At 42.3% G+C, this 27,909-nt stretch overlaps 1 protein-coding gene and 2 pseudogenes across 2 annotated transcripts in view; 1 reads left to right on the top strand and 2 right to left on the bottom strand.

Moving 5' to 3' along the window:
• Window positions 1-27,909, bottom strand: part of RERE (arginine-glutamic acid dipeptide repeats) — a 465,237-nt gene that overhangs the window by 433,711 nt on the left and 3,617 nt on the right. The window contains exon 2 of one of the 2 annotated variants that reach the window (NM_012102.4): window positions 6,290-6,474. The exons of the other annotated variant lie outside the window; for it this stretch is intronic. The gene's annotated coding sequence lies outside the window, so the exon portion shown is untranslated. The remainder of the gene's footprint in view (window positions 1-6,289; window positions 6,475-27,909) is intronic. 2 annotated transcript variants of the gene reach the window in all.
• Window positions 15-837, bottom strand: RPL7P7 (ribosomal protein L7 pseudogene 7; annotated as a pseudogene).
• Window positions 12,324-13,443, top strand: RPL27P3 (ribosomal protein L27 pseudogene; annotated as a pseudogene).

Here is a 27,909-nt window from a genome sequence, read left to right on the forward strand (position 1 = left end):
CTAACTTTCTTTTTTTTCAACTTGAGAGCAGCTACTGTTTATTTAAACTGATCAGACTAGAAAAATAATTGTGGTAAACACCTCGGTTCATTCTTCTAAGAAGCCTGTGGATCTGGTCCTCCCTGTTGCCAGCATCTCCACCTTCTACAAAATGGGTGGTTTTTCTTCATTCTATCTTGTGGAGAAAATAATTTGAAGGGCCACAGGAAGTTATTTGCTTCTTTAAAGCGTTTTCCAACAGTATAGATGTCATGAATCAGATCCTCCATGCAGATGATGCCATATTTACCAAGAGATAGAGCAATCAAAGCGTTATCTGTCAAAGCAATTTGTTTATTCATCTTGCCATAACCACGCTTGTAGATTAGTTCATTTACTGACTTCAGATTTGGGTTCCCCCATGTAATATATGGCTCTACAATCCTCAGCATGTTAACTGAAGCCTTGTTGAGCTTCACAAAGGTTCCACTGAAGATTTGATAAAGGCGAAGAAGCTGCAACACCTTTCAGACCTCTGGGCTCACACCATTGGCACCTCTGGTCCTGATGACAAAGGCCAATTTGGGTTCTGCAGGTACACAGAAGTTGCCAGCTTTTCTTGCCATCCTTGCCATTCGAATTTCAGTTCTGTACATCTGCCTATATTCCTTGTGATAGCACTATGCTTTTTCATAAATAAGCTCCCTCCTTGCCTTTCAAAGCATGTTTTGGGCAAACTTCTTTCTCAGGAGCTTGATCTTCAGCTCTGTGAAATTCCTTTGCTTTTTCTTAAGGGTTTCTGGCACAACAGGAACCTTCTTCTTCTCTTCAACACCCTCCATGGTTCCAGCTGGTAAAGATCGCAGTCTAACTTTCACACAGCAGCCAAAGTGATCTTTATAAGACAGAGATCAGATTCTGTCACACACACCTGATGAAAACCTTCCAGTGGCATTATACTTGGAATGAAAGCCAGAGGTCTTAGCATGGTCCACAGGGAACTTTATGGCCTGGCTCCTGCCCCTCTTTCCTGGTATCACCTCCTACTGTTCTCCCAGAGTTTTTCCACTGTTCCTTGACCAAACCAGCAGGCTTCCACCTCGGGATTTTTGCACCTGATGTTCCCTCTGCCTGGAAGGCTCTATTCCTATACCTCCGCATGGCTCCCTAGCCTGTTCAAGGCCTTGTCCAAATGTCACCTCTTCAGAGAAGCCATCCCTAAATAACCTACTTAAAATGGTACCATCCGTACACCCTGTCAGTGTCTCTCTCTTTGTCTGAGTATCATGGTTGCCTCATTTTATAATTTGTTTAATCTGAGTCAGAACTGAAGCATTTATTTCCCTATAAAATGAAATCTGGGCAGAACAAATGCTATTTTATAGACCACTCATTTTGAAGTTAAACACAATATATAAACAAACATACACACCTTTAAAAAAAACAGTGCTTTGGCCAGGCACAGTGGCTCACACCTGTAATCCCAGCACTTTGGGGGAGGCCAAGGCAGGCGGATCACCTGAGGTCAGGAGTTCCAGACCACCCTGGCCAACATGGTGAAACCTCGTCTCTACTAAAATTACAAAAATTAGCCAGGCGTCGTGGTGGGTGCCTGTAATCCCAGCTACTTGGGAGGCTGAGGCAGGAGAATGGCTTGAATACTGGTAGCAGAGGTTGCAGTGAGCCGAGATCATGACCCTGCACTTCAGCCAGGGCAACAGAGGAAGACTCTGCCTCAAAAAAAAAAAAAAAAAAATGTGCTTTGGTGTATGGTTTTCCTTTATCGTTCTTAATTTAAAAGTATTACCAGCCTGGGCAACATGGCAAAACCCCATCTCTACAAAAAATACAAAAATTAGCCAGGCATAGTGGCGCACACCTGTAGTCCCAGCTACTTCGGAAGCTGGGGTGGGAGGACGGCTTGAGCCCGGGAGGTCAAGGCTGCAGTTAGCCATGATGGTGCCACTGCACTCCAGCCTGGGTGACAGAGTAAGACCCTGTCTCAAAAAAATAAAAGCATTAAAAAGAAGTGCTGTATGTACAAGAAGTTTATGGTTGTAGTACTAGATAGAGTACAAAAAAGAAAAATGGAAATAAGCCAAGTGCCCAATAATAGGAAAATACTTAAGGAATATACATGTGAAAAAAACATAATACAACCATGTTATGTTAATGTGTTATAATAACATCATAACGTTATAATAATATAGTAATTTTTAATATATGTTAATAATGACTACATAGAAGCACAAAGGTGTTTATCAAGGAGTTTTTTTTTTTTTTTTTTTGAGACGGAGTCTTCCTCTTGTTGCCCAGGCTGGAGCGCAGTGGCGCGATCTCGGCTCACTGCAACCACCTCCTCCCAAGTTCAAGCGATTCTCCTGCCTTAGCCTCCTCAGCAGCTGGGATTACAGATGTGTGCCACCACACCCAGCTAATTTCTGTATTTTTAGTAGAGATGGGATTTCACCATGTTGGCCAGGCTGGTCTCGAACTCCTGACCTCATTATCTACCTGCCTCGGCCTCCCAAAGTGCTGGGATTACAGGCGTGAGCCACTGCGCCCAGCCAGTGTTTTTTTTTTTTTTTAAGAAGCTGTAATGATAGTAACAAAGAAGTCCAACCTTTATATTGCACAAATATTTACTAACCATGTAGCATCTATGTGCCTGACCAGCCCTGACAGATGAGGATTCAGGAGCAAACAAGACTCGTCCCTGTGCTTTCAGAGCACACAGGGTAGCAAAGCCACTGACAAGTACAGGTGGGATTACAGTGAGGCATAAGAGATGGCTCGGGGGAGTACAGGGGCCAGGCAGAGCACCCTGGGCACAGCCCTGAGGCTTTCCAAATGAAATGATCCCAAAACTCAGACCTGAAGAATAAACAGGAGCTAAGAAGCAAAGGAGGGGGAGATAAACAGGTATGAATCAGTGGGTGCTCAGGGTGAGAGGCAAGAGAAGACATGAAACAGAATATGTGAACTATTATTTTTTAAAAAACTAAAGTAACTTCTATATTTGATGGTAGAATTTTTGGTAAAATTTATCTTGTATAAAATATGATACTAGGCTGGGCACAGTGGCTCACACCTGTAATCCCAGCATTTGGGGAAGCCGATGGGGGAGGGTTGCTTGATCCCAGGAGTTCGAAACCAGCCTGGGCAACACAGCAAGACCTCCTCTCTACCAAAAAAAAAAAAAAAAAAAATATATATATATATATATATATATGAGAGATACTAAATGAAAGCCAAATACTTTACCAACCACTCTGGCTTCTCAAAGCTTATCTGTCCTGTGGCTACTACCTCTCTTTCCTTCAGCCTAACCTACTATCTGACCAAACACGAGCAGTGGCAGGAAGCAATTTTAACACGTCACACAGATGCACACATAACTCTTTATCAGGACTGACCAATACACTTCCCATCCCCACATTACAAATTTGGGGCCAAAATTACTCAGACAGAGATGTACTCTCCAGTCTCTGGCTGACGTGCTACCTTATTACCTCGCCCCAATTCCCTTCAGGTGCCAACAGACACTCCGTGCCTAGCATTCCAAGCCTGTCTTCTTTGGTCTACCTAACTTATCTGGCACTATTCCTCCCCACAAATTCTGTACTTCAACCAGGTTCTCTTTACTGAACGCTGCGCATACCATATGCATTCCTGCCTCAGGCCGACCCCTGCCTGGACTGTCCTAACCTGCTCTCCCAGTCTGCTATTCAAACAGCACCCATTCTTCGATGGCCCACTCAGCTTTTCAATGGATCTTTGGTCAACTTATTTAATCCACACCAATCTCTAACCTGAAACTGAACTAAATTTGTTATGCTAAACAGTAAGTACTTGGTTAAATTCCGCTTTTGTTCTAGAAATCTCTAAATGTTGTATTCTTGCAAGGCTTCCCTCCTAAATTCTGAGGCCAAAGATAGTAACTTTTATTTCTTTTGTATCCCACTAACAGCAACATTAAACTTGGAAAACACACCTCCCACACCTGTTGGCTAGCTGACAGATCCTGGATGGAAAGATGAGCCAGAGAGCATTCAGTGCCAGTTGCTTTTCTCTGGAACTGCGGGTTCAAGCACCAAGATTAGGACTAGACTTATGTGCTCCTTTGGGACAGGAAATGGCATATGTACTGAAACGCGAGATAGTTAAAGGACACCCCCCCAAAAAAAATTAAACATGAGGAAAAACATGTGTTCCTAATGTGGGCAAACCCCACCATATTACAAGTCTCCCCAGTACCTTCTATACTATGTAGCTAATAATACAAATAAATAATAAATCTAATCTATTTGATAAATGAATAGATTTAATACCACTAAGAGAAATATGAAGGTAATAGGTATAACCAACAGCCTAGAGTTTAATAAAGCTCCAAGGTAATCCCTGTATCAATTTATAAGATGCTAATGAATTATTTTTACAGTTTTTCAAATCCTTCATATAGAAATAAACTAAGCCATTTTCTAGGAAGAAAAAAGGTCAGGCTTTACTTACAGAGTCTTGCTCTTGTTATCCAGGCTGCAGTGTAGTAGCACGATCTCAGATCACTGCAATCTCCACCTCCCAGGTTCAAGCAATTCTCGTACCTCGGCCTCCCGAGTAGCTGGGATTATAGGCATGCGCCACCATGCCCAAATAATTTTTTTGTATTTTTAGTAGAGATGGGTTTTGGCCATGTTGGCCAGGCTGGTCTCAAATTACTGACCTCAAGTGATCCACCCACCTCAGCCTCCCAAAATGCTGGGATTACAGGCATGAGCCACCGCACCCGGCCCAGGCTTTACTTCTTTAGGGAGACAGGGTGGTAGGGGTTTCATAATGAACTGAAAAACCAAACACTGTGTCCCTTTCATTTGGCAAGAACTCCTTTTCCAAAGAAGGGACTCAGAAAAAATGAAATTACTTATATAACGTCTGAGAAATATTCTTAAAAGACAACAAAACATACAGAAAGGTATTTTGGATTCAGGAGAATACAACCTCTTCCAAAAAGAGATTTACTCTCTACTCCCTAGGAACTACTAATGACATGGAAAATCCCACTCAAGTTACATGAGGTCACACACCCACAATAAAGGTAGCTGCCTGAAGGTGGTCTGCCAAGATAAACACCAACTTGTTAACTCCCTAAGTGCTATGCAAATGCCCAAGATAGTATATGCACACTTAATGACTCTCTACATTGTTGGAGCATCATGTTTCTACTATTACTACAGTTCTTTCAGTCTGTATTTTAGTGGGGTTTTTTTCATATCTGTTCCCCACTTTTCATCATGACCTCCAGGAGGGTAGGGACACATCTTACTCATCTTTATATCCCCAATGCCTAGCATTATATCTTGCAAGAGACACTAAAAAAATAAAATTCTGCCAAATGAATGGGCAAGCCCAAAATATCACTCAGATAATCCCTTATTAACAGCCAAATGCCCAGGGGAAGGGAGACTTAGATGACAGCACCTTCCTAGAAAATATGGCCTGAAATTACAGATCATTTCTACAACAAGTTACATTTCACTTACTAAGCAACTGGTCTATCTTTTCAGAATAAATTTTACTTTTCATGATCAGTGTAAGTATACGGGAAGCATGATTATTCTGAAATCTCTTCTTTTCAAACTAAACACATAGCTCCTGGACACCCACAGGAATCATACGAGAAGAGGGAGAGGCAGTAGACATTAGTTTCAAACCTATAACTCTTTAAGAGTCAAACAAAAGTAGAAAATACTAAGAAAAGAAAACTTGTCAGAAACCATTTAAAGACAAAGGACACCATCATCTCCCAGAATTTATCATCAACAGAACAGGTGAAGCTTAACAAAGATAAATTAGGCCGGGCATGATAGTTCACACCTGTAATCCTAATACTTTGGAAGGCCAAGGTGGGAGGATCGCTTGAGCCCAGGAGGTCAAGGCTGCAGTGAACTATAATTGCACCACTCCAGCCTGGGCAACAAAGCAAGACCCTGTCTCAAAAGAAGGAAAAAAAAAAAGAAAACAAAACAAAAAGACAAAGTATAAGAGCGCCTTCTTCACTTAATGAAGCCCAAGTTATAAATTCTTATAACCCATTAAGTTTATAATTGAAAGAGTATCAAGCATATAGCTTTATCTATGCACATAAAAACAAACATAAGTTCAGTAATTCATACCAGAAACCAGGTAATCACAAGTCCAACAGTTTACCTTATCTTTGAAATACACTATGTAGTTGGCTAATTTCACAGTAATCAATTCTTACGGGATCCTCTTATAATAGCCACTCAAGGAGAAAATTTCAAATACTGACCTCTAATTCAATGTAATACAAATAAGAGGTCTTCCATCCAGAATTATATCAAATGGCCACAATTCCTTTCTCAGTAACACCATAAACAGGCTGAAGCTCTCCACAAATCTTCTCTGTAAGTGGATCCCACGGTGGTTGTGACCCGGTGCTGAGCGCACATACAGTTACTCCTAGACAATCACCTCCTAAAAGAAGACAGATGACTATCACTGTGACTAAATGAAACAACTTCAAAAATGCAGCTCTGCCAACTAGTTTCATTAGCATTTTCCAAACAAAACAGGTGTCACAGACAAGCTCAAAATAGTCAAACTCCTCTCTCTTTGGTGCTTTAGCAACATTCAATTCCCTAACACCTCCCCCAGATGCTGGATTCTTTTTAACAGTGTCTTACATCGGGTATGTTTCTCAATATTAGGAAGGTTTAAAGAAGCTGTGAGGATCGGATAGCGGAACATAAAGAAGCAGGAAGGCCGGGTGCAGTGGCTCACGCTTGTAATCCCAGCACTTTGGGAGGCCGAGGTGGGCGGATCACTTGAGGTCAGGAGTTCGAGACCAGCCTGGCCAACACGGTGAAACCCCGTTTCTACTACAAATACAAAAATTAGCTGGGCATGGTGGCGGGCGCCTGTAATCTCAGCTACTTTGGAGGCCGAGGCAGGAGAATTGCTAGAACCCAGGAGGCAGAGGTTGCAGTGAGCTGAGATCGCGCCACTGCACTCCAGCCTGGGAGACAGAATGAGACTCCATCTCCAAAAAAAAAAAAAAAAAAAAGAAAGAAAGAAAGAAAGAAGGCTCTATTTTGATACTGGGAGCCTAAACTGAATGATTCTGGAGAAATTCACAGATGGGGCTGAGGCTCACCTTCATGACAGCTGTATCAAAGGCCTAAATTTCTAAGGCTCAGAAATCACTACAATAAGCCTATCAACAGCATGTGATACTCTCCAAGCATTTTGCAACCTTAACATTTCCATCCTTTACAGTACTTTGATATCCTCAAAAGATGTCTTGGATTTCAAAGCCAGTCCCACAACAACAAGGCTGGCAATCAGCATCCCAGAAAACTGCAAAGAGGTTAAGACCCAAGCAAAATGGACTTGGGGATGCAAGGAATTTGTCAGCACCTGTATTCTCCTAAGAAGTGGTAAAAATATGGCCGCTTCCTACAGGAAGAAACTATGCCAAATAACCAAACCAAAAGTGAGAAAACCTAAATTATATTAACTTCTCATGAGAAGAGGCACTTAACCAGATAACTCTGAGTCAGGACCGTTCAGAGGGCGGAAAGAAAGGACCCATATTAACTGTTCTAATTACAAGTTACTCTTTGACTCTTCAGATCTTATTTCCTTGATGATTAGACTGGAATAAACAATTTGAGGGCAGGTACTATAACACCTGTCATCCCAGCACTTTGGGAGGCCAAGACAGGTGGATCACTTGAGGCCAGGAGTCCAGACCAGCCTGGCCAACATGGCAAAACCTCATCTCTACTAAAAATACAAAAAAATTAGCCAAATGTGGTGGCTCATGCCTGTAGTCCCACCTACTCAGGAGAGGCTGAGGCACGAGAATCGCTTGAACCCAGGGGGTGGAGGTTGCAGTGAGCCAAGATCGTACCACTGCACTCCAGCCTGGGTGACAAAGCAAGACTGTCTCAAAAAAAAAAAAATTTTTTTTTTTTGAGAGAGAAAAAAATGGCCTCTGAAGGCTGGGCGCGGTGGCTCATGCCTGTAATCCCAGCACTTTGGGAGGCCGAGGTGGGCAGATCATGAGGTCAGGAGATGGAGAACATCCTGGCTAACACATGGTGAAACTCCGTCTCTACTAAAAATACAAAAGTAAAGTCCCAGCTACTCCGGAGGCTGAGGCAGGAGAATGGCAGAGCTTGTAGTGAGCCGAGATCGTGCCACTGCACTCCAGCCTGGGCAACAGAGCGAGACTCCGTCTCAAAAAAAAAAAAAAAAAAAAAAAAGCCTCTGAAATCATTTCAGGAACTAAAAGCTAACTCTGGCTCTCTCTACATCTTTATATTAAAGGGTCCTGGACCTGTGATTGTTGAGGTGGCAGGGAAAACTGCTACCTGTTCCCATTCCTAATAGAAACCATCTTTTGATGCCATTCCCATTGTATTTTTCCACAAAAAATGTATTTACAGATTTCTGGGACTGAAAAATTGCTGAATTTGTTAAAAGAGAAGAAAAAGGTGGCCCAGCAAGATGGCTCATGCCTGTAATCCCTGCACTTTGGGAGGCCAAGGTGGGTGGATTGCATAAGCCCAAAAATTCGAAACCAGCCTGGGCAACACGGCAAAACCCCATCTTTACAAAACAAAACAAAACAAATAAAAAAAAAACTGGCCAGGTGTGGTGACATGCACTTGTAGTCCTAGCTACTGCCAGAAGGTGGGGAGGGAGGGGTGGCTGAGGTGAGAGGATGGCTGTCACCCAGGTTGGAGTGCAGTGGTGCCATCATGTCACACTGCAGCCTCAACTTCCCAGGCTCAGGTGATCATCCCATCTCAGCCTCCCAAGTAGCCAGAACCATAAGAATGCACCATCACGCCCAGCTAATATTTTTTATTATTTTTGTAAAGACAGGGTCTCCCTATGTTACCCAGACTGTCTTTTATTCCCCGCAAGACGGAGTCTTGCTCTGTCGCTCAGGCTGGAGTGCAGTGGTGCAATCTTGGCTCACTGTAACCTCTGCCTCCCGGGTTTAGGTGATTCTTGTCTCAGCCTCCCAAGTAGCTGGGATTACAGGTGCCTGCCACCATGCCAGGGTAATTTTTGTATTTTTAGTAGAGATGGGGTTTCATCATGTTGGCCAGGCTGGTCTCGAACTCCTGACTTTGTGACCTGCCCGCCTCGGCCTCCCAAAGTGCTGGGATTACAGGTGTAAGCCACCGCCCCCGGCCCCCCACTTTTTTTTTTCTTTTTAGGAGACAAAGTTTTCTACGTTGCCCAGGCTGGCCTCAAATTCCTGGGCCAAAGCAATCCTCCAGCCTCTGCCTTCCAAGTAGCTGGAACTATAGACATGCCACATATCCAGCATGCATTTTTATATTTTCAAGGTATTTCCATATCTATTTGTTCATTTCAGTTTATGTACTACTGTCCCTATTTGACAGCTAAGGAAGTAGGGCACATAATCATACTTCAAGCCCATAGTTCAGGTGGAAATGGACTCTAGGTCTTCTCATGCCAACCAGGAGTCATGGCTTATTTTTCTTATGCACAGAGGCTATCACAGTTCAGGACATTTTAGTGAAGCCAGAAGAAACAGGAATTACATGGCCGGGCACAGTGGCTCACGCCTGTAATCCCAGCACTTTGGGAGGCCAAGGCCGGCAGATCATCTGAGGTCAGGAGTTCGAGACCAGCCTGACCAACATGGAGAAACTCCGTCTCTACCAAAAATACAAAATTAGCTGGGCGTGGTGGCACATGCCTGTAATCCCAACTACTCAGGAGGCTGAGGCAGGAGAATCGCTTGAACCTAGGAGACAGAGGTTGTGGTGAGCCGCGATTGCACCATTACACTCCAGCCTGGGCAACAAGAACGAAACTCCGTCTCAAAAAAAAAAAAAAAACAAAACAAAACAGGAATTATGTAGCATATATAAATTATGTTTTAAACTACTATCATATAACCTAGTAGTTCTCTCCAATGTAATCAACATATCCCTTAGTAAAATATTGTTTCTAGAGTTATAAATAGTATTCTGCCATAGGCCACCCAGATCTCAGATCTCATCTTGATTCAAATGGGCACTACACAAGAATACATGGGGTGTTTAATTTATATTCATTTTGTTATTTTTCAGGACAGTGCCTCTAAGCCAGGAAATAGCCTTCAAGTAGAAGTGGAAACATCCACAGGCTAAGTTAAATGCTATATTCAAGCCACTCAATGTTCACAGTCTTATTCTAAGTAATCAGGCCACTGACCCAAGTGTCAGTCAGCATCATCTTCAATCTCCCTATGAAAAGCTGAAGGAAAAGAAAATCTAATTAAAAGCCCAAGAAAAAATCCACTTTAATCAAAACTGCAACTAAAAGGCAAAGGAACTTTAAGGTAGGAAAAAAACTTAAGACATGAAAAAATTAGGAATTACAAAAAGGGATGTCAAGAGGGAAAAAGAGGAGATACTGCGATTTTTTTTTTAGAATAGTCAAATACAGCAGTGAGAAGAGGGAAAGAGTAGAATAAGGAGTTTGATCTGTAACCATCAATTAAGATTAAATCACTAACTTCAGCCTGATACTGTAATTTAAATGACTAAAAGCAAGCCAATGAAAAATATGACTTTCCAAACAGAAGAGGCATAAAACTATAGAAAAATAATGAAATACGAAGGGTTAAAATACAGAGAACCACAATTTTAGGAATATTTTACTATGAAGAACAGGAAACTGAATGTTTAAGTATATATAAAAGCAAAAGGAAGGAAACAATACATTTAGTTCCATCAAAATCAACAGAAAACCATCTACTATGAGCCTCCGTTGACAACTTCTCCCAAGTGAAACAATACAGATGAGGGTCACAGACTTAGCCAGTGATAGGACCTACTACTCTGTAATCATCCATGGGCAACAGACAAGGGCTGTCAGAGGACCCAACAGACGGAAGCCAGTGCTAGAAGACAGAACTAGTTTCCTCAAAAAAAAAAATCAGTCAAAGCCAGGAACGGTGTGGCTCATGCTGTCATCCCAGCACTTTGGGAGCCTGAGGCAGGAGGATCACTTGAGGCCAGGAGTTCAAGACCAGCCTGGGCAACACAGGGAGACCCTAGAAAAAAATTAAAAGTTGTTTTAATTGAAAACAAATCAGTCAAACAAATTACTGGTATGCTTTAAAAATAACTGTGTGACAGAAGAATTACTTGAACCCAGGAGGCGGAGGCTGCAGTGAGCTAAGATCACACCACTGCACACCAGCCTAGGTGACAGAGTAAGACTCCGCCTAAAAAAAAAAAAAATCAGCATGAATCACAAAAGAAAGATACACGCCAGATCATTATTGTTCTTAAGGTGAAGCAATTTAGTCATCTTAGCGTAAACACACATATGCTTTAGTAGACATATTAAGAAATCTCTGGAATAAAAAATGACCAGACTAACTAGAAAGCAGTTGAATCACCCACCTAAAAAACCGACTTACTAATTTAAAGCACTTACCATATTTTAAAATCTTTTTTACCTTAGAAGCCTTTTTCACTTCAGGTTTTATATTTAAAACATTTTCCAAAAAAGTCAGGGTTTGTGTCACCTCTTGCAGTTGGAAATCAGTTTCAACTGTAAGTTACTTTAAATCCAGTACCAAAGCACTGAGATTCCAAAGCAGTTGTCACATTAACTCCATTTCAGAATCCAAGTACCTGACTGCAGTCTCTAGTAAGAGAAGCCTCTAACTGGAAAAGTAACAGGAAAAGTTGTACTTTCTCATTTCAAATTTGGGGCCTACTATGCTGAATGAAGAAAGAGAGAACTTCAAGTTCAGCCTAATAGGCATTTACTACAAATAATATGACAATGGTTGGCACTCAATTTTAAAATAAATGACTAGGCCAGGCGCAGTGGCTCATTCCTGTAATCCCAACACTTTGGAAGGCCAAGGTGGGAGGATCGATTGAGGCCAGGAGTTTGAAACCAACCTGGGAAACATAGCAAGACCCCATTTCTATAAAAAATTTAAAACTTAGGCCGGATGCAGTGGCTCACGCCTGTAATCCTAGCACTTTGGGAGGCCGAGACAGGTGGATCACCTGAGATCAGGAGTTAGAGACAAGCCTGGCCAACAAGGCGAAACCCGGTCTCTACTAAAAATAGAAAAAAATTAGCCAGGCATGGTGGCGAGCGCCTGTAATCCCAGCTACCTGGGAGGCTGAGGCAAGAGAATTGCTTGAACCTGGCTGGGGAACAGAGGTTGCAGTGAGCCAAGATCCCGCCCCTGCACAACAGCCTGAGTGACAGAGCAAGACTCCGTCTCAAAAAAAAATAAAAATAAAAATAAAAAATTACCCAGGCTTTCTGCTGTAGGCCTGGGTGGCTGCTATAAAAACGGGCAAGTTCATGAAACCTGGAAAGTGGTGCTGTTCTGGCCAGACGCTATGCCAGATGCTACTCAGGAAGCAAAGATATCATCATGAAGAACACTGATGATGGCACCTCAGATCGCCCTTACAGCCATGCTCTGGTGGCTGGATTTGACCACTATCCCCACAAACTGACAGCTGTTGTGGGCAAGAAGAAGATGAAGAAGAGTCAAAGATCAAGTCTTTTTTTTCTTTTTTTTTTTGAGGTGGAGTCTTGCTCTGTCACCCAGGCTGGAGGGCAGTGGCGCAATCTCGGCTCACTGCAACCTCCACCTCCCGGGTTCAAGCGATCCTCCTGCCTCAGCCTCCCAAGTAACTGGGATTACAGACGTGCATCACCACACCCAGCTAATTTTTGTATTTTTAGTAGACATGGGGTTTCACCATCTTGGCCAGGCTGGTCTCGAACTCCCAACCTCAGGTGATCCACCCGCCTCAGCCTCCCACAGTGCTAAGATTACAGGCGTGAGCCACTGTGCCCGGCCTTTTTGTTTTTGTTTTTGTTTTGAGACGGAGTTTAACCCATTACCCAGGCTGGAGTCCAATGGCAGACCTCGGCTCACTGCAACCTCTGCCTCCCGGGTTCAAGCTATTCTCCTGCCTCAGCCTCCTGAGTAGTTAGGATTACAGGAACCCGCCACCACGTCCAGCTAATTCTTGTATTTTTAGTAAAGATGAGGTTTCACCATGTTGGCCAGACTGGTCTCAAACTCCTGACCTCAGGTGGTCCACCCGCCTCGGCCTCCCAAAGTGCTGGGATTACAGGCATGGACCACCGCGCCCCGCCAAAGATCAAGTCTTTTGTGAAAGTTTATAACTACTATCACCTCATGCCCATAAGGTGCTCCGTGGATATCCCCTTGGAGAAAACTCTCATCAACAAGGATGTCTTCAGAGAGGCTGCTCTTAAATGCAAGGTTACTGAGAGGCCAGGGTCAAGTTCAAAGAGAGGTACAAGACAGTCAAGAACAAGTGGTTCTTCCAGAAGCTGTGGTTTTAGATGTTTCATTTAGGTTATTAAATTTTTTAATTAATTAAATTAAAATCAAAATTAGCCAGGCATGGTGACATGCCCCTGTAATCGCAGCTACTCAGGAGGAGGCTTAAACAGGAGGATCGCTTGAGCCCAGGAATTTGAGGATGCAGTAAGCCAGGCTTGTCCAATCCGCAGCCCAGGACAGGTTTGAATGAGGCCCAAAACAAATTCGTAAACTTTCTTAAAACATTATGAGTTTTTTTGTGATTTTTTTTTTTTATTTTTAGCTCATCAGCTATCATTAGTGTTAATGTTTTGTTTTGGTTTTGGTTTTTTTGCTTTTTTTTAAGATGGAGTCTCGCTCTGTCACCCAGGCTGGAGTGCAGTGGCGCAATTTCCGCTCACCACAACCTCCATCTCCCAAGTTCAAGCAATTTCTCCCTGCCTCAGCCTCCCAAGTAGTTGGGATTACAGGAACCCACCACCACGTCCAGCTAATTTTTGTATTTTTAGTAAAGATGAGGTTTCACCATGTTGGCCAGACTGGTCTCGAACTCCTGACCTCAGGTGATCTGCCTGCCTCGGCCTCCCAAAGTGCTGAGATTACAGGCGTGAGCCACCGCACCTGGCCAGTGTTGGTGTATTTTATGTGTGGCCCAAGATATTTCTTCTTCTCCCAATGTGGCCCAGGGAAGCCAAAAGATTGGACACCCCTGCAGTGAGCCATGATCACACCACTGCACTCCAGCATGGGCTACAGAGTGAGACTCTACGTCAAAAAAAAAAAAAATACATAAATTAAATGACTAAAATCCAGAAATTGCAGTCTTTAAAGAGTAAATTTTATAGCATGTGACCAATCTCAATGAAGCTTTTATTATTTAAATGTGTTTTAAAAATAAATGACACTCAGAACGAAGTATTCCATATAACATAAACCACCTGTCTCTATGACTGAGAGACCACGAAAGTATATCTTAAAATTCTGATATATGAAAAGATCATCAACTTCATTCATGGTCAAAGAAATGCAAATTCAAATGATACTGTAGGAGCCAGGCACTGTGGTACACACCTGTAGTCCCAGCTACTCAGGAGGATCACTTGAGCCCAAGAGTTAAGAGGCTGCAGTGAGCTATGATTGCGCCACCACACTCCAGCCTGAGAAAGAGAGATTCCGTCTCTAAAAAAACTTTGTAAGGGCCAGAAGTGGTGGCTCAGACCTGTAATCCCAGCACTTTGGGAGGCCGAGGCGTGTGATCACTTGAGGTCAGGAGTTTGAGACCAGCTTGGCCAACACAGTGAAACCCCATCTCTACTAAAAATACAAAAATTAGCTGGGTGTGGTGGCACACGCCTGTAGTCCCAGCTATTCGAGAGGCTGAGGCAGGAGAACCACTTGAATTTGGGAGCCGCAGGTTGCAGTGAGCCGAGATTGCGCCACTGCACTCCACCTGGGTGATACAGCAAGACTCAGTCTCAAAAAAATTGTAAGGCCAGGCATGGTGGCTCACGCCTGTAATCCTAGCACTTTGGGAGGCTGAGGTAGGTGGAGTGCTTGAGTCCAGGAGTTCGAGACCAGCCTGAGCAACATGGTAAAACCCCGTTTCTACAAAAAATACACAAATTAGCCAGGTGTGGTAGTGCATTCCTGTAGCCTCAGCTACTGGAGGGGGTTGAGATGGGAAGATCGCTTGAGCCCAGGAGGTTGAGGCTGCAGTCGGCCCTGATCGCGCCACTGCACTCCAACCTGGACGGCAAAACAAGACCCTGTCTCAAAAAAAATTGTTCTTTTTTTTTTTTTGAGACGGAGTTTTGCTCTTGTTGCCCAGGCTGGAATGCAATGGCACAGTCTCGGATCACCGGAACCTCCACCTCCCAGATTCAAGTGATTCTCCTGCCTCAGCCTCCTGAGTAGCTAGGATTACAGGCATGTGCCACCACGTCAGGCTAATTTTGTAATTTTAGTAGAGATGGGGTTTCTCCATGTTGGTCAGGCTGGTCTTGAACTCCCAACCTCAGGTGATCTGCCCACCTTGGCCTCCCAAAGTGCTGGGATTACAGGTGTGAGCCACCGCGCCTGGCCAAAAAAAAAATGTTCTTAATGAAAAGATATCATTGTACACATTTCCACCTATCAGATTAACAAAGATTATAAAATTTCATAATATCCAGGGATGGTGAGAAGGAAATGAAAACCCTAAAATATTCTGTGCATACACAGGCATATCTTTGGGGGCAATTTATTTACAGCTTTCAAAATAAAAAGTAAACATAACCCACTGATTCAGCAACTCTACTTAAGAGCTTATCCTATACACATACTTGTACAATAGTACAACAGTACAGATATGAGGATGCGAACCAAAGAGTCTGAGACAATTTAACTGTCCATCAATGGGAAAAGTGAAGTTTACATCCATACAGCGTCCGATTATGCAGTTGTTTTCAAAAACAAACCTGAGTTATAAGTATTGAATTGAAAAATATGTTTGGAATTTTTTTAAATTCAAGATACTATCTATAGTATGCTTATATATGCAGAGAAAATGTCTGGAGGAATACTGAATTGTGTGAAAGTGATTACAATGAGTATATATTAATTTTATAATTATAATTTGTATTTCATTTGAACACATGAAGCTATCAAATAAAGTCATTTAACCCTGGTGTTAAATCAGCCTATGCTATGATCCCAACCTATCTTTCCAGTGCTCTATGGTTCTGGCCAAACCAGTCTGTTCCTTCTTTGAGAAACCAGTCCCAAGGACTCCCTCTCCAAAATGCTCTTACTATGTGGTCTGAACAGCTACCCGCTACAGCTTCAAATACAAATTACCTGAGTTGAAAAAACTACGCCTGCCTGCATCTGCTATAAAACATTTTAAAAGAGATCTTTTTTAAAAAGAAAATTGAAACACAATTTAATAATCCCCATCATAGAAGCAGCAAAAGTACTCACCATTTCCCAAGTTTTCCAGGCTCTGTGCCTTTGCTTCATGCAATTTCCTGCCTCAAATCCTCTTAGCTACTTATCACATGTCCAAATCCTGCCAATCCTTCAAAACACAGGTGACACACCAACTCCTACACCAAATCTTCCCTAATGCCCCCATCCAGAGCTGATTCTCTTTCTTAAACCACAGTATCAACACCTTTTGAGGCACTTTCTTCTACCTAGTACTCAGTTGTGTACATGTCTCATCTTTCCCATTAATGAGAAAATCATCATGGGCACAATCTCTGTCTTGGTCATTTTGTATGCCCTATTTTGCTACATTAATTAAACTTGTATTTCACTAAAGCATATAATAAAAAGAAAGGGGCAAGAATCTAAAAGTTAAAAAAAAACAGGCTTTTAGTATGCATTCATTTGAATTAGGTCTTGTTTACCTGCAACAAACGCTATGTAAGAAAAGTACGAAAGGTAAGATCCTTCCCTCTCCATCCAGCTGCCCAGGGCCCTGGTATGCCTCCTGAAAAGGCAATAACTATGGGTTCTAAGAAGTCCTTGGACACTGCAACTTCTTAACACATTCAGGACATTGGAACTAAGTTGACAAAAAGAATTTATAAGTTATATTTTAAAATAAATTTATTTATGACAATTACACAATTGCACAGTTTACATGCTGAGGCAAAATATGACGTTCAATACATGGGAAGATAAACTGTATAAAACTATCTGAGCTGTGAAAAGAAGTCACTGTTCGGCCAGGTGCAATGACTTAACGCCTGTAATCCCAGCACTCTGAGAGGCCGAGGCGGGAGGATCACGAGATCAAGACCATCCTGGCCAACATGGTGGAACCCCATCTCTACTAAAAATACAAAAATCAGCTGGGCATGGTGGCACATGCCTGTAAGGTCCCAGCTACTCGGGAGGCTGAGGCAGGAGAATCGCTTGAACCCGGGAGGTGAAGGTTGCAGTGAGCCAAGATTGTGCCACTGCACTCCAGCCTGGGGACAGAGTGAGACTCTGTCTCAAAAATAAAAATAAAAAAAAAGAAGTCACTGTTCATTATCGACCATCACAGAATAAATATTCCAAGGCTACATATAATCCCAAGTTACTAAAGTTTTGAAGGGGAAGGTTGGTCTGGTTTTCTGTTTTTTTGAGACAGAGTCTCACTCTGTTGCCCAGACTGAAGTGCAATGCAGCCTTGACCTCCCAAGCTAAATCAATTCTCCCCCCTCAGCATCGCGAGTAGCTGAGACTACAGGTGCACACCACCATGCCTGGTTTTTTGTTTTTTTTTTTTAGAGACTGGGTTTTGCCATGTTGTCCAGGCTGGTCTCAAACTCTTGGGCTCAAGTGATCTGCCTGCCTCAGCCCCACAAAGTGCTGGGATTACAGGCATGTGCCACTGTGCCCAGCCAACTAAAGTTTCTGTAGCGTCAAAAGTGTTTAAGGATTCCACAAAGACTAAATTCTCACTAAGCTATGCAAACAAAGGTGCTAAACCATTCCAACCAAAATATGAAAGAAACATGTAGATGTTTTATAAAGCTAGATTTCCTAAGAAATATTAATATTAATGAAAACTTTTCTCAATATATTAATAGAAACAAGATGTCTGCACATTTTTCCAGTTTATAGATGTTAAAAATTAAGTCTCAACAAGGTCTTTAATCATATGTGTATAATCCTAAGTGTATAACAACTTAGGAAATTTCAGTAATTATTCCTACAATAATGAATCACATAAAATATATATATGTACACATGGCAGATTATGCTACCAAGATCAGAATGTTCAAATCAGAAGGCAGTTCATCTTGTTAGAAAATTTACCCAGCAATAAAAATCTGAAGCCATCGTTAGATCAAGACAAATTTCAGTGAAAATTCTATACTGGATACTGAACTGGAGGTGGGGGGTTATTCTTACAAATAATACTGAAGGATTACAATAATACTGTCAAATTATCAAATGTGTTAATACTACATTAGCCATTCTACTGGTATTTATGGCACAAACTGCCAGATGTAGTGCAATACTGATTCTTCCCTTCCTCCAGAGTAAGAGAACCCCTGATTTTTGACTAGGCACATAGTAATTTCCAGCACAGAATATACTTTCTAGCTTCTCTTGCAGTTATGTGTGACCTTGTGATTCCGTTATAATCGAAGGGACACAGCAGAAGCGATATGTACAATTTCTGGAAAGTATCTTCACAAGAAGGGAGTGTGCCCAGCTTTTGCCTTTTCCTCCTTCCTGCTGGTGAGAATGCAGAACTGATGTGAGAAAGTGGAGAAGCCACCTCTGACAAAAAGGAAAGAGTTACATGTTGAAGGCTGGGTCCCCTAATGAGCATGAAGGTAGCATACTGGTTCAGGACTGTCTATGAGATACATGAAAGAAAGGAAACTTCTATCTTGTTTAAGCCATTGTTATTTTTGGTTTCTACCACTCACTGCTGAATCTAATCCTATCTAACACACGGCAAAATTATAGAGAAAGAGTACTATATTTATTAAACTTTACTTTTTCAAATGATTTTTTTTGTTTTGTTTTGTTTTTGGTTTTTTTTTTTTTTTTTTTTGAGACAGAGTCTTGCTCTGTCACCCAGGCTGGAGTGCAGTGGCGTGATTTCGGCTCACCGCAACCTCGGCCTCCCAGGTTCAAGCGATTGTCCCGGATCCCGAGTAGCTAGGATTACAGATGCCCGCCACCATACCCAGCTATTAAATAATTTTGAATACATAGTTTAAACTTACTAGGATTAAAATAAACTCATTTTGGGGGGCCAGGCGCAACAGCTCACATCTCTAATCCCAGCACTTTAGGAATCCGAGGTGGGCGGATTGTCTGAGGTCAAGAGTTCCAGAACAACCTAGCCAATATGGTGAAACCCCATCTCTACTAAAAATACAAAAATTAAGCCAGGTGCAGTGGCTCTCGCCTATAATCCCAGCACTTTGGGAGGCTGAGGCAGGTGGATCACTTGAGGTGAGGAGTTCCAGACCAGCCTGGTCAACATGGTGAAACCTCACCTCTACTAAAAATACAAAAATTAGCCAGGCATGGTGGCAGGCGCCTGTAGTCCCAGCTACTTGAGAGGCTGAGGCAGGAGAATCACTTGAATCCCGGAGGCGGAGGTTGCAGTGAGCAGAGATTGCACCACTGCGCTCTACCCTGGGCGATAAGAGTGAGAATCCGTCTCAAAAAAAAAAAAAAAACAAAAACAAAAATTAGTCAGGCATGGTGGTGTGTGCCTGTAGTCCCAGCTACTCAGAAGGCTGAGGCAGGAGAATTGCTCGAATCTGGGAGGCAAAAGTTGCAGTGAGCCAAGATCGCGCGGTTGCACTCCAGCTTGGGCAACAGGAGCGAGACTCCATCACAAAACAAAACAACCTTCTTTTTTTTTTTTTTTTTTTTTTTTGAGACGGAATTTCACACTTGTTTTCCAGGCTGGAGTGCAATGGCGCGATTTCAGCTCACTGCAACCTCTGCCTCCCGGGTTCAAGAGATTCTCCTGTCTCAGCCTCCCAAGTAGCTGAGATTACAGGCATTCGCCACCATGCCCAGCTAATTTTTGTACTTTTAGTAGAAATGGGGTTTCACCATGTTGGCCAGGCTGGTCTCAAACTTCTGACCTCAGGCAATCCGCCCGTGTTGGCCTCCCAAAGTGCTGGGATTACAGGCATGAGCCACTGCACCCGGCCAACAAACTTATTTTTGATTATTCAAATAACTAAGCTCTAAAATGTTTTTTCTACACTATATTTGAGGTATAAAATTGTTATTATCAATAATTTTTTGGCCAGGCACGGTGGCTCACACCTATAATCCCCCAGCACTTTGGGAGGCAGAGGTGGGCAGATCACCGGAGGTCAGGAGTTCAAGACCTGCCTGGACAACATGGCAAAACCCATCTCTACTAAAAATACAAAATTTAGCCAGGTGTGGTGGTGATCGCCTGTAACCCCAGCTCCTTGGGAGGCTGAGACAGCAGAATTGCTTCAGCCCAGGAGGCGGAGGTTGCAGTGAGCTGAGATCGTCCAGCTTGGTGACAGAGGGAGACTCCATCTCAAAAAATAATAATAATAATAATAACTTCCTAAGTATGCCTTGGGGTCAAGCGATTAAGCCAAATCTCCCTTATCTCTACCTCAATAATACCATACGTTAATATTATTCATTCATTTAACAAATGAATGCCTACTGTACTCTTCGCAAGCAAGGTGCACTGAAGTGACCAAAGCAGATGATGGGCCTCTTCCTCCGGGAGTTTGCAAGCCAGTATCAATGCAGCCGAGGCAGTAGAAGCCTCTGCTTCCCTCTTCTCTAGCCTCCAAGTTCATCACTCCCCTGCTGTCATCATATTCTTGCTTCAGGCTACAATATGAGAGTACAATGTGACTAGACTTCAGCTTTGCTCTGCTAATATAATCACACATAATCATATTCCTCAAAGATGACACTCCTGTTACCAAAATTAGCATCAGCATCTTACCAAAATGCCATAGCAGTTATCACTGATGGTGGGTCAGTTTTCCACATGGCAAATCTTATTTATCACAAGATATCTTTCCCTAACTGTACCTTATGGGGTTCTCTTATCCTTACATTTTGTTGTTGTTGAGACAGGGTCTCACTCTGTCTCCCAGGCTGGAAAGCAATGGCACAATATTGGCTCACTGCAGCCTTGACCTCCTAGGCTCAAACAATCCTCCCGCCTCAGCCTTCTGAGTAGCTTGGGCTACAGGCACGTGCTACCACGCCTGGCTAATTTTTAATTTTTTTTGCAGAGACGGGGGTCTTGTTACGTTGCCCAGGCTGGTCTCAAACTCCTGGTCTCAAGGGAGCCTCCTGCCTCGACCTCCCAAAGCACTAGGATTACAGTTGTGAGCCACCACATCCAGCTTTATCCTTAAATTTGAAAAATACTTTGCAGTTCCGCCGCCCCCCACCCAGTCCCAGGGACTATACTGAAAAATGTCAGAATGTAGGGCTGCTTAGGCAGATAGCCAAATATTTTTAGTTACTCCTCACAGGCCATTACATCAACCTCATTAGAGATTTGAAGCCAGACCAACAAGAGGTCTTGCTCTTTCCCTCAATTGCCTTTCTTCTTGAATCTCTCTAAGAGGATGGAACACTAATCGGATTGGGTCAAGAGTCCACAGTACTGATTGAACCCTGTGTACAACTATGAAGATCAATGAAGATTAAAAGTTACACAAATCTTGATTCAAGTGCAAGATAGAAAAAAAAGTCACATACATGTAAGAGTTTGTGTTCTTGTTCTTGGTCATTTCACTCTTACACACTCTAAAAGACTAATTGTTGGGGTCTTCTGCAAAGCCATCAACCAAAGAGTAGTAAGACAGTGAAATTTAGGAGGATGAGAGAGCCCTTGACTAGTCCTGGAGCTTAAGTAATATGATGTCACCCTGTTTACTACACAAATTTACATTGGTATTTTGGCCAAAAGCCCAAATTAATAATAAAGTAATACTTCTAATTTCCTACTTGCCATTGTTCTACTTATATAAATCTCCTTCAGAGGCCAGGCGTGGTGGGTCATACCTGTAGTAACAGCACTTTGGGAGGCCGAGGTGGGAGAATCACTTGGACCCTCAAGATCGAGGCTGCAATGAGCCGTGATCATGCACCACTGCACTCTAGAACCTGGGCAACAGAGCAAGACCTTGTCTCAAAAAAAAAAAAAAAAAAAAAAACCTCCTTCAGGAAGCTAAGCCATGATATTCTGATCATTTATTAACACCCCAAACTTCAAACTGTACTATTACTCTATTCACTTGGTATTTAATCACATATTGTTTTTAGCATTTCCTATATTCAAGGAATAGCAAACATTTTAGAATTGGTACCTCAAAGAGAATCTATTCAAACCATCTAGAGTTCACCCATTGTCTCCTGCAGATCTCCTGATTATTATAAACAACAAAGAGAACATACTGGAAAGCTAGATCTCTAGATGACAATAACAGTAATAATAAAAAGAGGCTGATATTTATTGACCATTTACTATGTGCCAGGGACCTTTTTAAATACTTTATATGAATTAATTACTTTGGTCCTCACAACAAACCCACGAGTATTATTATTATCTCAATTTTACAGATGAGGAAACTGAGACCCAGAAAGGTAAATAACCTGCCCGAAGTCACAGAGTTAATAAGCAGTGGGCTGCAGATTGAGTCTAGAGCTCTTAACAACTTTTCTGCAATAGCATAATAGTTAGTTAACGGTAGACAAATACTACAGCTTGGTAAGTTCTGAAACTTAGGGCCAAAAAGATATTCAAGGAGGCAAAAGACAACACAGATCTGCATCTCCAGAGAGAGATTTTCAAAATTTGAGGCTGGACCAAATTGGTGTTTAAACAAAGTATTGAGGGAGGGCTGGGTGCAGTGACTCACGCCTGTAATCCCAGCACTTTGGGAGGCCAAGGCAGGCGGATCACGAAGTCAGGAGATTGAGACCATCCTGGCTAACATGGTGAAACCCTGTCTCCACTAAAAAATACAAAAAATTAGTCAGGCATGGTGGCAGGCGCCTGTAGTCCCAGCTACTCAGGAGGCTGAGGCAGGAAAATGGTGTGAACCCGGGAGGCAGAGCTTGCAGTGAACTGAGATCACACCACTGCACTCCAGCCTGGGCGACAGAGCGAGACTTTGTCTTAAAAAAAAAAAAAAAAAAAAAAAGTACTGAGGGAGAGGTTAATGGATAGAATCATGAGGAACATCAATATTTAACATAAACTCAGCACATTTTAGGTCAAAATGATAATACAGTAAGGTAGTATTTGTGTATATTATAGATATACAACATATATTACAAACCAAAATACATAATGATTATCCCTACTCCATAGGAAGTAGAACATAATTTAACTATAATTACTATAGGTTTATGGTAGCATCTCTGTTGGCTGTAGCTAAGATTTTTCATGCTAAGTCCTTAGGCAGGAATGCAACCTATAATAATGTTACTACAAGAGACAATAATCTGCTTTAAAATCTTTCTTCAGACATGCTTTCCAGGGAACAGACAGTTGTGAAACGAAAGTCAGCCTAAATAGATGGACCATATTTCAATGACTCTAAGACTCATAATGTTTGTTTTACATTTGTATAGTATGCCACTGGAATTAGGAAAGGTCTCACAGAGGTTAACTGGCATTTTTTTCATTCTTAGCAGTATACAAAATAATAATTCATTTTACAAATGATGGCATCTTGGAGTCAATAAAATGTTTTTCAGAATACATCTAATTTTAAGTGTGAACACACATACTGCTGTAGTCACAGGAAAACTTTCTGCCTTCAAGAGATGTATAATCTAATAAAGAGAACATAATTATCTCTAAAATATAAATGGAAGTAATAAACATTAATACAAGACATGAAGTGATCAAATGAGTGAGAAGGTTATAACAAGAACTGAAGAAAAGGTATTTAAGTGGTAGGAAATAAAAGTGGCCAAACCAAAAAAACTTCAGGCACTGTGTCCTGAGCACAGTTTGTTGTTTTTGTTTTTGTTGTTGTTGTTGTTGTTGTTGTTGTTTGAGACAGAGTCTTGCTCTGTCGCCCAGGCTGGAGTGCAGTGGAGCGATCTCAGCTCACTGCAACCTCCGCCTCCCGGGTTCAAGCGATTCTTCCACCTCAGCCTTCCGAGTACTGGGATTACAGGTACCCGCCATCGTGCCCAGCAAATGTATTTTTGTAGAGACAAAGTTTCACCATGTTTGCCAGGCTGGTCTTGAATTCCTGACCTCAGGTCACCCATCCGCCTTGGCCTCCCAAAGTGCTGGGATTACAGGCATGAGCCACCGCGCCTGGCCTAAAGTTATTTTTAAATAAAATAAATCCAGACATAGTGGCTCATGCCTGTAATCCCAACACTTTGGGATACCAAGGTGGGTAGATCACTTCAGCTGAGAAGTTCAAGACCAGCCTGGGCAACATGGCAAAACTCTGTCTCTATAAAAAATACAAAAATTAGCTAGGTGTGATGGTGCATGCCTATGGTCCCAGCTACTCAGGTGGCTGAGGCAGGAGGATCATTTGAGCCCGAGGGGGTCAAGGCTGCAGTGAGCAGAGATTGCGCCACTGCACTCCAACCTGGATGACAGAGCAAGACCTTTCCTCAAAAAATTTAAATTTAAATTAAAAAAAATTAATTTTACAGGTGCATCTCAAACTGTGTTCTATTAAACTAGAATAGTAGTATCTATCCCATGAGTATCTCATGAGAAAGAAACAGGTATTCTTTGGGGTAAGGGAGGAAAATGAAAAACAAAAACCCTCTATAGTATAAAATGTTTCTGAGGCTTTAAAGAGCTCATGTGCATTATAAACGTATTTCACCCCACACTTAAAATACTTGCAGCATATTAGGAAGCCATAAATACAGTTCGGGAAACACTGACTTGGGTAGGCAGGTAGGTAGACAGGTAGTCAGTAGGCGGGCAGAGTCACAGAAAATAAAAGGAGAATAAGACAAATGTAATAAAGTGATACCACCTAAAAAAAGGATCATAACTGACTACGAGTTATGACTATGAAGTCTCTTGAAGGAAAATAAGGTGTTAGAATAAGCTATCAAAATCAACAATAGCCGCCAGGCGCAGTGGCTCACGCCTAGAATCCACTTGTGTGGATATACTTCCCCAGCATAGCCAGGTCCTGCCAGAGAACATTTCCAGTGCCTCCCCAGGCAGTTCACACAGACAGACATATGCCCACATGCTCATCTGCTCACACTCCCCCTGAACTGTATTCACCCCACACACACTGAGTGCCTTCATCACTGTACTCCCTTGCTTCCCACCCCAGAAGCAGGAAGAAGGTCAAGAATCAGACCTTTGGCTGGGCATGGTGGCTCACACCTGTAATCCTAGGACTTTGGGTGGCCAAGGTAGGAGGATCACTTGAGCCTAGGACTTCAAGACCAACCTGGGCAACATGACAAGACTTGATTTCTACAAAAAAAAATTAGCCAGGTGTAGTGGTACACACCTCTAGTCCCAGTCCCAGCTACTCGGGAGGCCAAGGAGGGAGGATAACTTGAGCCCAGGAGTTCAAGGCTGCAGTGAGCTATGCTCATGCCACTGCACTCCAGCCTGAACAACAGAGCGAGACCCTCTCTCAAAAAAGAATCAGACTTCTGGGAGCCTAGGGAACATATACAGGTGCCAATGAATGTGTCCGTGCATGCTCTGCTAAGTGTGTGCATGGCTGCGTGAGCTAGAATGGGTTTTTGTAGGAGGAGCTCTGCCCTGCTGCTGCAGGACTGTCTGAAGATGCTGCACAGCCATGCTTCCTCACAAGCTCTCTTTTAAGGTTAGTCCAGGCCAACCACATTAATATTGTCCCCTTTGGGGTGGTATATTTATTGCAACACACAGCCTGGACATTCATATACAGGGCCATGGCACTAGGGTAAGGCGCCACAAACTCCTCCTGCTGAGGAGGCAACAAGGTATCTGGTCGCTAAAGCTGGGTGGGACCCATATCCCTGACAGTATTCCAGTATGTATGAGGCACTGCAGACCTGGGGTTTTTGTTCTTAGGTGAGGCCTGGCTCGTACGGCTTAAATTTCTGTTCTACTTTTCCCCAACTTGAGATGACTCGGAAGACTTTCTGTTCCTTGCAATGAAAAACAGCCTAACCAAAGTCCTTAAAAGTCATGTATATAACTACTTTAAAATTAAGATAAAACCCATGGCTTCGACTTCTGATGCAAATACCCAAGACAAATAGGGTATGAGGATTCCTCAAATACCGAGTGGTTTATGAATTAGAGGCCACATCATTTTATAACTAACCATATAAGGAAAATTTTCACAGTTAAATATATTGCTCACACTTGCTGACATACTGGCAAATTTTACCAGTTAAAAATATGCCGTGTGCAGTGGCTCACGCCTGTAATCCCGGCCCTTTAGGAAGCCAAGGCAGGTGGATCACTTGAGGTTAGGAGTTCAAGACCAGCCTGGCCAACATGGTAAAACCCTGTCTCTTCTAAAAATACAAAAATTAGCCAGGTGTGGTGGCACATGTCTGTAATCCCAGCTACTCGGGAGACTGAGGCAGGAAAATCGCTTGAACCTGGGAAGCAAAGTTGCAGTGAGCCGAGATCGTGCCATCGCACTCCAGCCTGGGTGACAGAGCAAGACTCCATCTCGAAAAATAATAATAATAATAATTTTACACTGGCACAGACCACTTTACCAAAAAAAGCATCTTATATTAACTGTACTCTCTGACCTAGTTACCTAATGTACAGACACACAGTACATCTTATATTACTTGGCACACCAACAAGTTAGCTATACAAATCACAATTCCAACCCAAACTTGAAGCTAGTAAATATATTTAGTATTTGAACTTGAGTTGTGTTCAAATGTTCATTAAATTGGCCTATGCAATCTTAACAATGTTCTAACACATATTTAAAATGCTCATTTCTCCTCCATTATTTAAAAAAAAAACACACACACACACAAACTATAACTCTGTTAGACAAGAAACCAAACATAAGCCAAAAGGCTCGGCAAAATCACACTTAAATAGGACAAGGAGAGCTTCAACTTCAGAATAATTATCAGGATACCAATCACACAAATATGATTCAACAATCACTTAAATATCATTCAAGAGGAATTCCTGGTAGTAAAAAAAGAAATCCCGTAATTAACTAGAGCACAGCATTATCAGAAACTGATTATGTAAAACAATAGCTTTTCTTTCAGGATGTGTGTATGTGTGTGTAACGAAGTTCACAGCTAGGTTACACTAATGACTCACTTAAACATTTGAATTTTCTGCTATCTTAACCTTTAAATCGACTGCAAAAGTAGCTGCCAAAAGTAGCTTAGTAGGAAAGCATACTACTCTCAAAAGAACTTGGTATGTCCAACTTATTTTACTACTTAAATTTTTTTTGATCACTGATATTTGAAACTAATTTTTAAGTAATGAATGCTTACTAAATCCATGATAATATTCAGCATATACAGGTTTTTAGAAGGGCACAGATTATATTCTTATATGTGTGTTTTTACAGCACCTGGAACATTTCTGTTCAGTATCTGTTCAGTATTACACATAATTATTGCAGGACCTGACAGTGTTTACTATCCTATTTTTTCCTTTTTTTTTTTTTTTTTTTAGACAGAGTCTCGCTGTGTCACCCAGGATGGAGTACAGTGGTGCCAATCTCAGCTCCCTGCAACCTCTGCCTCTGAGTTCAAGCAATTATCGTGCCTCAGCCCCCCAAGTAGCTGGGATTACAGCCACGCGCCAAAGTGCCAGGCTAATTTTTGTATTTTTAGTAGAGACGAGGTTTCACCATGTTGGCCAGGCTGGTCTCGAACTCCTGACCTCAAGTGGTCCACTCGCCTTGGCCTCCCAAAGTGCTGGGATTACAGGCGTGAGCCACCGCACTAGGCCTTACTGTCCTATTTTTTAAAAGCTTTTTCGACTGACCAGTAAATCAAAGTTGAAAAGGTAACTGGTACATTTTATTTCTTGATTTGGATTACCTTTTTGTTGTGAATTG

The sequence above is a fragment of the Homo sapiens genome, chromosome 1, assembly GCF_000001405.40.
Source record: "Homo sapiens chromosome 1, GRCh38.p14 Primary Assembly".
NCBI lineage: Eukaryota > Metazoa > Chordata > Mammalia > Primates > Hominidae > Homo > Homo sapiens.